The sequence below is a fragment of the Homo sapiens genome, chromosome 7, assembly GCF_000001405.40.
Source record: "Homo sapiens chromosome 7, GRCh38.p14 Primary Assembly".
NCBI lineage: Eukaryota > Metazoa > Chordata > Mammalia > Primates > Hominidae > Homo > Homo sapiens.
In genome coordinates this window covers 69227255-69237584 of record NC_000007.14, presented here as the reverse complement: position 1 = coordinate 69237584, position 10330 = coordinate 69227255, and the positions used below count along the sequence as shown (strand labels likewise).

General features: G+C 43.6%; 2 annotated features.

Moving 5' to 3' along the window:
- Positions 4086-4678: an enhancer, noted in NCBI's record as "OCT4-NANOG hESC enhancer chr7:68697894-68698486 (GRCh37/hg19 assembly coordinates)". NCBI's record gives its function as "activates a minimal SCP1, AML or CMV promoter by ChIP-STARR-seq in naive and primed H9 embryonic stem cells {active_cell/tissue: H9 hESC(naive and primed)}" and the evidence as "EXISTENCE:reporter gene assay evidence [ECO:0000049][PMID:30033119]".
- Positions 4679-5272: an enhancer, noted in NCBI's record as "OCT4-NANOG hESC enhancer chr7:68697300-68697893 (GRCh37/hg19 assembly coordinates)". NCBI's record gives its function as "activates a minimal SCP1, AML or CMV promoter by ChIP-STARR-seq in naive and primed H9 embryonic stem cells {active_cell/tissue: H9 hESC(naive and primed)}" and the evidence as "EXISTENCE:reporter gene assay evidence [ECO:0000049][PMID:30033119]".

The following is a 10330-nucleotide window of genomic DNA, read 5'->3' as shown; positions in this document are numbered from 1 at the left end:
CTCATGCCCGTCTCCCATCTGGCTGTTCATCTCTATCCTCCGTAATATCCTTTGCAATAAATAGGTGAATGTAAGCCTTTCCCTGAGTTCTGTGAGCTGTTCTGGCAAATTAATCGAACCCATGGAGGGGGTTGTGAGAACCCCTGATTGATAGTTGGTCAAAAGCACAAATCACAGCCTAGGGCTTGTGATTGGCATCTGAAGTGGGGGACAGTCTTTGGACTGAGTCTTTAACCTGTAGGATCTAATGCTATCTCCAGATAGATAGTGTGAGAACTGAATTGAATTGAATTATAGGACCTCCAGTTGGTGTCTGCTGAAGAATTGCTTGGTTGGCGTGTGGGGGAAGCACCCCCCTCCATATTCTACACATCTGATGTCAGAAGTGTTGAGTTGAATGATGTGTGATTTTCCTTTTTTCCTATGTCTCAGTCATCAAGACAAAGAGTATTTGAGATTTGTTCCTGTGCAAGAAATGCCTCCAAATCTTACAGCTATCAAAAAAATAACTTTCTAAACATAACATCATTATTAACTAGTTATGATGCTCAAATAAACATTTGCAAACCTTCAATAATACGAAACTAGGTTTTAGTCAACCATGCTTGCTAGCAAAAATGATATTACAAATTTAAAAATCATTTCAAAAGCCAATCAAGGTTTATGTGGCCAAAAAATCGGAGGTTAAAAATGTATTACAAAGCAGTGTCAGGTAGTTAAGAAATAAACATATCCGTTCTTTTCCTGGTTTTGTTATATTTGTCTATTTTTAAAGTCTGTAATTGGCAGTATGCCCTTCCTTCATTCTAAATAAATATTCACTTTGTACCGAATCTGGTGTTTATAATTTTAGATTATTTTTCTTAAAGAAGGCTTTTCAAATTGTATAAGCTGCAGGATCCACGAGAACTACATCCACCTTGGCTGGGTTTTAGAGAAATTTAAATACAGATGTGCCCAGTGACTGGCCAAGGAGTTTATCACATAGGAGGAGAGATGAGACAAATTCATCCAAGAAGAATACCTGGCAGGATGTGACAAGAGTCTCAAGAGAAATATTAACAATGATTTTGGGGGTTCAGAGGTCTCTGGGGACACTTTCACCAACGTCTCAGCTCTCCCAGCCAGTCTTTTTTTTTCTTCTAGAGACAGGGTCTTGCTTTGTCACCCAGGCTGGAGTGAAGTGGTGCGATCATAGCTCACCGTAACCTGGGCTCAAGCAATCTTCTCACCTCAGCCTCCTGAGTAGCTAGGATGACAGGTGCATGCCACCACACCTGCTGATTTTTATGTATTTTTTTGTAGAGACAGGATCTTGCTATGTTGCCCACACTGATCTCAAACTCCTGGCTTCAAGGCCTCCTCTTGCCTCGGCCTCTCAAAGTGCTGGGATTACAGGCATGAGCCACTGCACCTGGCCCCTTCTTTTACAAAAAATTTTAGATTCAGGGGGTACATCTGCATGTTTGTTACATGGAAATATTGCATAATGTTAAGGATTAGGCTTCTAGTAAACGTGTCACCTAAATATTGAACACTGTACACACCAATAGGTAGTTTTTCAACCTCTCCCTCCCTGGCCACTTTGGGAATCACCAGTGTCTATAATAATTTTCCATCTTTCTGTCCATGTGTACCAAATGTTCGCCTCCCACTTATAAGTGAGAACAGCTTTCTGTTTCTGAGTTAGTTCACTTAGGATAATGGCCTCCAGCTCCATCCATGTTGCTGCAAAGGACATGGTTTCATTCATTTTTATGCCAGCCAGCCCTTCTTGCATTCACAATCATCTTCCTAAAAGAAAGGTTCCTTTAAAAAAAAAAAATCACCCTTCCATGTATAAACCACATGCTCAAAACGACACATCCGTGTCTCTCTTATGCTGTTTTCCTGGCCTGTAATGTCCTTTTCCCAATGGAATGTCCCGAGTCCACAGCAGCGTTATGGAGAGGCGATGGATTCCACACTTGAGACCCGGGCTCCCTTCCTCACCAGCTACATGACCTTGGTTAACTCATTTGACCTTTCCTCACTTCTAAAGTAGGGGCTATATACTAACCATTGCCGACCTCAAGCACTATAGAAAGGCACTAAATGGGTTAATGCATGTAAAACCCTTGTCAAATTCAAAGCTCCGAACAAATGCTACATGTTATTACTACGCATCCTTCAATGCCCAATTCAAATGCTACCACCTTTATAGTCCCCCCCAGCCCCCACCCCATCGATCATCCCTTCCTCTGTGCATAATAACTTGCTTCTGTTTTCATGTATTTAATTTGCTGTGTTATTATTGTAAAGTCATTCGCTTATTTATTCATTCATTCTTTTATTTCATAAATATTTATTGAGCTCTCCCTCTGTACGAGACACTTGCTTTCTCCCTCCCTGCATTTATAAACTGTCTGGGCAGAGACTGTCTTGTTCTTATTTGTGTCCACGAGAGCGTGTAGCTCATTATCTTGCACCCTCTAAGGGCTCAGTGATGGTTTTTTTTCAGGGATGACATGTGAACTGTGCCTTCGAGGTTGGGAGGATTTAGATTAGTATGGGTGGGTATTCCCGGGAGATAGGGTACAAGCCCTGCTTCCTTCCAGATTGGTAATTCCATCATGGCTGGACATTAGAATCATCTTGGGGAGCTTTAAAAGTCATGGGCGGCAGGAGAGACAGCTCATGCCTGTAATTCCAGTGCTTTTGGAGGCTGAGGCAAGAGGATCACTTAAGCCCAGGAGTTTGAGACCAGCCTGGGTAACATAGCAAGACTCTGTCTCTACAAAAAAATTTTAAAAATTAGGCAGGTAAGGTATGGTGGTACACACCTGTAGTCCCAGCTATGCAGGAGGCTAAGGTAGAAGATCACTTGAGCCCAGGGGCTGAAGGCTGCAGCGAGCTATGCTTGTATCACTGCACTCCAGACTGGATGACAGAGCAAGACCCTGTCTCTTAAAAAGAAAAAAAAAAAGACAAGGGGCTGCTTGAGTACCCCCACCCCTACTCCCAGAAATTCTACATTAACTGTCCTTGAATGAGACCTAGCATTGAACTGTGGGTTGTGTGCTTCTTTTTTTTTTTTTTTTTTGGTGGCTGTTGCTGTTGTTTGTAAAGACAGGGTCTTGTTTTATTGCTCAGGCTGGTCTTGAACTCCTGGCCTCAAGCAATCCTCCTGCCTTGGCCTCCTAAAGCATGGGGGTTACAGGCAAGAGCCACCATGCCCAGCCCATTGAATTCTGTTTAAACCACCCCCTCCCTCCAGTAATTCTAATGTGCACCTGGGTTTGCTAGCCACAGCTCAAAGACAATTTTATTAATTGGTGACTGGCACTGGCACACCTAGAGATTATCTTTAGTTCACTGGCCCATCATGGGGATGACTCTGGGGATAACAAATCCTACTTAGTTTCCCCATGCCTGAATCTTGGGAGGCCGACCTACCCTTTCCTCTCACTCAGCTATTCCTGGTGAGCGGTCTTTGATAGTCATTTGTGTTTTTCATGACTTGACAAAGGCCAGGTCAGACACGCCACCAATATGTTTCTAGTTTATTGATCCAAGACCCCATTATTTCATTGAAGGAAGCGGTGGGTGGGCCAGACAGACATGGCCATGCCGGGACTGCACGTTCTCCTGTTTGTCACCTTTCTAGAACCTCTCTCTCTGCTCCATGGATTGAAAAACAAAAAGGGACCAGGTGCAGCGGCTCACACCTATAATCCCAGCACTTTGGGAGGCCGAGGCAGGTGGATCGCCTGAGGTCAGTAGTTTGAGACCAGCCTGGCCAACATGGTGAAACCCCGTCTCTACTAAAAATACAAAAATTAGCCGGGCATGGTGATGGGTGCTTGTAATCCCAGCTACTCAGGAGGCTGAGGCAGGAAAATCGCTTGAACCTAGGAGGCGGAGGTTGCAGTGAGCCCAGATCACAGCACTTCACTCCAGCCTGGGCGAAAGAGCGAAACTCCCATCTCAAAAAAAAAAAAAAAAAAAAAAAAAAAAAAAAAAAGAGAGAGAGAAAGAAAGAAAAAGAAAAAAAGAACAGATCTATTCACCAAAGAGCTAAAGAAACCTTCAGAGAGTCTTCCCCGTTCCCCACTTTTCCACTTCATCTCACTGTTCCTAGAGCTCTAATTGAATTTTTACACTTCATTTATGTGTTTTTAGTCCATGCATTCTTGTGTTTTCTTTCTTTCCTCCCCTTGAAGAGCTTCCCCTCCAGGTCGGCCACCTGTGATTACGCCTCCCATGCAGACGTGCAGAGCGACATTTAATAACAGGGGCGCTTTCCTGACAGCTGTTTTGATAATGGTGGCGGGGAAGTTTCTTTCATGGGTGCACTTGGCAGAGAAAGCCTCGCCTGGTATCACAGTCTGAGATGTTCCGGGATCCACCTGTAATTATACCTTCTCAACCTCACCTATCCACTTCCTTTTCAGAGGAGAACTATACTGAGTGGCACTCACCTCCCAAGTAGAAGAGGTGCTGACTTTTCAAGCAGATCAAGGCAGATTTGGGGGTTAGGAAATTAGTATTTCATTCTTCACCTGCCCTGCGGGTGCCGTCACTACCAGAGAAAGACTGCTGGCTGGAATTGGAAAGATCATCCCCACAGGGGGTAACAACAATACCATCGCCTTTACCTTGATGGGGGGCTTGTTTCCAAAAGAAATTATGCCTCCATTAAGGGCCATTTTAGACCATTAGTGATGTGTTTGCATTTCCACAAGAATGTTTACCTTTCCCCGCAGGGAACCGAGGTCAGTCCGTGCTGTTCACGAGTTAGTAACTGTGATCAAAGCTCTCTGCTTTAGCTCAAGGAACCAACCCTCAGGTTTGGGAGTTGAATTTCGACTCACTAATTGGCTCTGCAGGTGCCTTTGTTTTTCATTTCCACTCCCTAAGTGCCCTTGTCAGTCTCTGGCCGGCCTCCCTGGGTGCTAGAGAATTCAAAACAAGGAAAACAGGGAAAACTTGGGGAGCAGGAAACTGAAGGTTACTCTGGAGATCCTTTTGCCGGCTGGATAAGTCACCTGATTTCTCTGTGCCGCAGTTTTGGGATCATGTGGGTACCCACCTACTAGCTCCATGGGAAGGTTAGGTGAGATAAGGCATAGACGCCCTCAGCAAATGCAAGGCAGAGCGCCCTGCTCAATAAAAGGGAGCTGTTGTTATTTCAATGTTCTTTCTTCTATCGTTACAAGAGGGGACCAAAGTCCTGTCTGGATGGTCCCCCCTACCCCTGCCTATCCCAGGAGGGAATCCATAAAAAAAAAAAAATACAAAGAAGCCTTTTGAAATCTCAATAGTTGGATGACACCTTTGACGCTTATTTATTATTTATTTCGAGATGGAGTCTTGCTCTGTCACCCCGGCTGGAGTGCAGTGGTGCAATCTTGGCTCACTGCAACCTCTGCCTCCGGGGTTCAAGCAAGTCTCCTGTCTCAGCCTCCTGAGTAGCTGGGATTACAGGTGCACACCACCAGCATGGCTATTTTTTTTTTTTGTATTTTTAGTAGAGACAGGGTTTTGCCATGTTGGCCAGGCTGGTCTTGAACTCCTGACCTCAGGTGATCCGCCCACCTTGGCCTCCCAAAATGCTTGGATTACAGGTGTGAACAACCGTGCCCGGCCCCCTTGATGCTTTTTAATCCCAACTACAGCAAAACTTTTTCTAAGTTGTTTTTGTTTGTTTCTTGAGACTGGGTCTTGCTCTGTCACTCAGGCTGAAGTGTAGTGGTGCGATCATAGCTCACTGAAGCCTCCAACTCCTGATCTCAAGCGATCCTCCTGCTTCTGCCTCCCAAGTAGCTAGGACCACAGGCATGCGCCACTGAGCCCATCTAATTATTATTACTAATTTTTATTTTTATTTTTTTTGAGACTTGGTTTCACTAAATTGCTCAGGCTGGTCTCAAACTCCTGGGCTCAGGTGATCCTCCTGCCTAGGCCTCCCAAAGCATTGGGATTACAGGTGTGAGCCACTGCACCTGGCCTCCTTTGATGCTTTTTAATCCCATTTACAGCAAACATCTCTCCAAGTCATTCCTAATGGGAGAAGCTTCTACCTTTTGCTCCATACTGGTAGGGCCAGAGACTCTGCTTTTTAAAGATGCCTAGATCATTTTCAGATTTTAAAAAGTTATTGTTTCATATTGGGTTCACATCTATCTCCCTAGAATGTTTTCCTTTTTTTCTTTCTTTTTTTTTTTTCTTCTTGCCGGAGTCTCGCTCTGTCACCCAGGCTGGATGACAATGGCACGATCTTGGCTCACTGCAACCTCTGCCTCCCAGGTTCAAGCAATTCTCCTGCCTCAGCCTCCTGAGTAGCTGGGACTACAGGTGCCTACCACCATGGCTGGCTAATTTTTGAATTTTTAGTAAAGACGGGGTTTCACCATGTTGGCCAGGCTGGTCTCGAACTCCTGGCCTCAAGTGATCCACTTGCCTAGGCCCCCCAAAGTGTTGGGATTATAGGCATGAGCCGCAGTGCCCAGCCCTCTCTATAACTTTTGATGTAATGTGCTGTACTGGATGGGATCATTGTCAAGTTAAACATTAGGATGGAAAACTGACAGCAGGCTTCTTAAGTCCCTTCTAACTCCAAGCCTTTATGAGTCTAATCTAGTCTTTTCCTCATTCATAAGATGAGCATAGTTATTACCTCCCCTGCCTACTTCATACCACTCCTGTTAGCACTGGTTGTGACTACATTGGTTTGGAAAGTGCTAAAAATTTAAGGGGTATCATTATCCTTTTGGGCAACGTTCATCATGCTTACCTCATTTCAGCATGACAACTCCACAAGACTTACATAAGTTTCCAAAAACACCTCAAAATAGAAAGAATTCTGTAATGACCCCATCCACCCATACCCATCACCCAGTGGCAGAAATTACCAGTATTTTTGCTAATCTCGTCATATGGTTTCTTGACCTTGTTCCCATCTGCCTTCCCCTGAGCATTTTCTAGATTGCTGGTGTCTCCACTGAAATAGAATTATTAGTGGATTTTAAGCTGTCAGAGTAGAGGGCATGTCTGTCTTGTTTATCATGGTATCTTTAGTGCCTGGCACTGCCCTGGTCATGGTAGGCTCTTAATAAAAAATTATTCAATAACTGGACTTGGCTGGGCACAGTGGCTCATCCCTGTAATCCTCAGTGGGAGACTGAGGTGGGAGGATCCCTTGAGGCCAGGAGTTTGAGACCAACCTGGGAAACACCGTGAGATTTTGTCTCTACAAAAAATAAAACCAGTTAGCTGAGCATTATGGTATGCATCTGTAGTCCTAGCTACTCAGAAGGCTGAGGTGGGAGGATTGCTTGAGCCTAGGATGTAGAGGCTGTAGTGAGCTGTGATCACTCCACTGCACTCCGGCCTGGGCAACAGAGTGAGAACTTCTGTCTAAAAAAAGGGAAAAAGATAAATGCATAACTGTACTAAAACAAACAAACAAACAAACAAACAAAAAATGGAGGCCTTTGGTGCTGTAACAGTCCCTCAAGAATTGTGTTCTCTTGGGTAGGAAGTAGATTCTCTGTATCTACCAAAGAGGCTAGGTCAGGACAATGACAATTAACTGACCTCAACTGGCTGTTGAAGGAATTTCAGGAATCCTTTGGGCCCCAGCTGGATAGAGTTTTGGGGCAAAGTAAATCTGATTGCCATTGGTTTTGGATTAGAAATCACTCCTGAATTCTCATCATTGACGTACACTCAAGGATTTCCCAAGAGCAGACATAGGTGCCACCTGGGTGCTTGTCTCTCTCTTAGGACTTGGCTGCGTGATTCTCCAGTAGGCCCTGGCTTTCTCTAAAGTCTAGTGGAAGCTCTGGGAGCAGGAGAGCATCAGAGATCACAGTGAGTCCCTTCAACTGCTGTGCCCACTCATTCATAAAATAACCCATCTCATGGGTTATTTTGTAAAGTATATCTGTTTGTAAAGCATATCTCACAATGCCTGGCACAGGATCGTTGTTCACTAACACTTAGTTTTGTTTTCCAAGTGGTGTGCAGGTAACCAAGAATCAACTTGTGGTTGGGTGCTGTGGCTCACACCTGTAATCCCAGCACTTTAGGAGGCTGAGGCGGGTGGATCACTTGAGCTCAGGAGTTCAAGACCAGCCCAGGCAACATGACAAGACCCTGTCCTTACTAAAAATATACAGAAAAAATAATAGTCAGGCTTGGTGGCATGTGCCTGTAGTCCCTACTACTTGGGAGGCTGAGATGGGAAGATTACTTGAGCCCAGGGGACAGAGGTTGCAGTGAGCCAAGATGGCACCACTGCACTTCAGCCTAGGTGACAGAGCAAGACCTTGTTCCAAAAAAAAGAGCAAACCCACACAGCAGTCTCTCCATGCCTGACCTCTGTCTTTCATGAACGACCTCTTTTAGTGAGCACCTACTGTGTGCCAGGTGCAACTGCCTGGTGGCACCAGGTTACTTAGGAAGGTAGTACTTAAAGGTAGCGTTTGTGATTACTCCCATATTCTTCCTCAAATGTTCTTTGGTGCCATTTTCAGAGCTGAAACATGGGCCTAGAAGGGCCACAGACCTGACATGAAGCAGAAATTCTTGTCTATTTATGTTATCACCTATGAAGGCCATGAACAGGTCAACATGGTGACATTCATTCTTATCTAGAGCACCGATTTCATCTTTTACTCACCAGCCTACAGGTGGTGCTTGACCAATTCTTGCATTCATTGATAAATTTGCAGTATGGTTAAATATTGCTTTTTCAGCTATTGGATCTGGAGGAATACTTTTGGATATATACAGCCAGGAATAGCAATTATTTGTTTTGCAAGTTAAAGAAAATCATGCATGGGAAAAATGTTGCCTCATCTAAGGAAAGAAGGAAGGATGGAAGGACAGAAGAAAGAAAGGAAGGAAGAATGGATGAAAGGAAGGAAGAATGGATGAAAGGAAGGAAGGATGGAGAAAGGAAGGATGAATGAAAGGAAGGAAGAATGGATGAAAGGAAGGAAGGATGGATGAAAGGAAAAATGGAAGGAAGGAAGAATGGAAAGAAGGAAAGAAGGAAGGGAGGGAGGAAGGAAGGAAGGAAGGAAGAAAAAGAAAGGAAGGAAGGAAAGAAGGAAGGTACCAGTCTGTGACCTGTTAGGAACCAGGCTGCACAGCAGAAGGTGAGCGGCAGGTGAGTAAGCCAAGCTTCATCTGTATTTGCAGCCACTCCCCATCGCTCGCATTTCCGCCTGAGCTCCACCTCCTGACAGGTCAGCAGTAGCGTTAGATTCTCATAGGAACATGAACCCTATTGTGAACTGTGCATGTGAGGGATCTAGGTTGCACACTCCTTATGAGAATCTGATGCCTTATGATCTGTCACTGTCTCCCATCACCCCCAGATGGGACCATCTAGTTGCTGGAAAAAAGCTCAGGGTTCCCACTGATTCTACATGATGGTGAGTTGTATAATTATTTTATTATATATTACAATGTCATAATAATAGAAATAAAGTGCACAATAAATATAATGCTCTTAAACCATCTACCCTCCCCTCAGTCCATGGAAAAATTGTCTTCCAGGAAACCAGTCCCTCGTGCCAAAAAGCTTGAGGACCGCTGTGATAACGCATTGCAGGTTACAAGGCACTCAGAGACTTCAGCAGGTGTTGGAATATTTTTTAAATGTTATGCTATACGTTTTAGAGATCTGCTGCACAATATGGGGACTATAGTTAATAATAACGTATTGTATATTTCAAAACAGCGGAAAGAGTAGGTTTTAAGTGTTGTCACCACAAAAGTGTTAAGTATGTAAGGTGATAGATATGTTAATTGGCTTGATCTAATCATTTCAGAATGTACACATCTATGAAGACATCAAAACATTGTACCCCATAAATATATACAGTTATTATTTGTCAATTTACAAAAGCGATTATACTTGTGATTTTAATATAAACAATTTAAGAGTAGAAGGCTGTTTATAAACTATATCGAATGTAAGATTCTGAATGATTATATTTAAAGCTTTGAGTGATTGGATTTATGAACTGTTGAAGGGCCTAGTGACATTTCCTGTTAGATTTGTAAATCTTCCTCTAGGTACTTGAAGTTTGAAAGGAAATATTTGTAGACGTAGTATACAATATATGAGGGGATTTAAATTTGTGAGCAGAGTTAATCATATGGAAATTTAATCTGAAAACTCTACGAATGAATGTATGCTTAATGAATACATATGCTAAATTAATTTTATTTATTTTGTTTAGTTTAGTTTTTTGTTTTTTGTTTTTGAGATGGAGTCTTGCTCTGTCTCCAGGCTGGAGAGCAGTGGCATGATGTTGGCTCACTGCAACCTCTA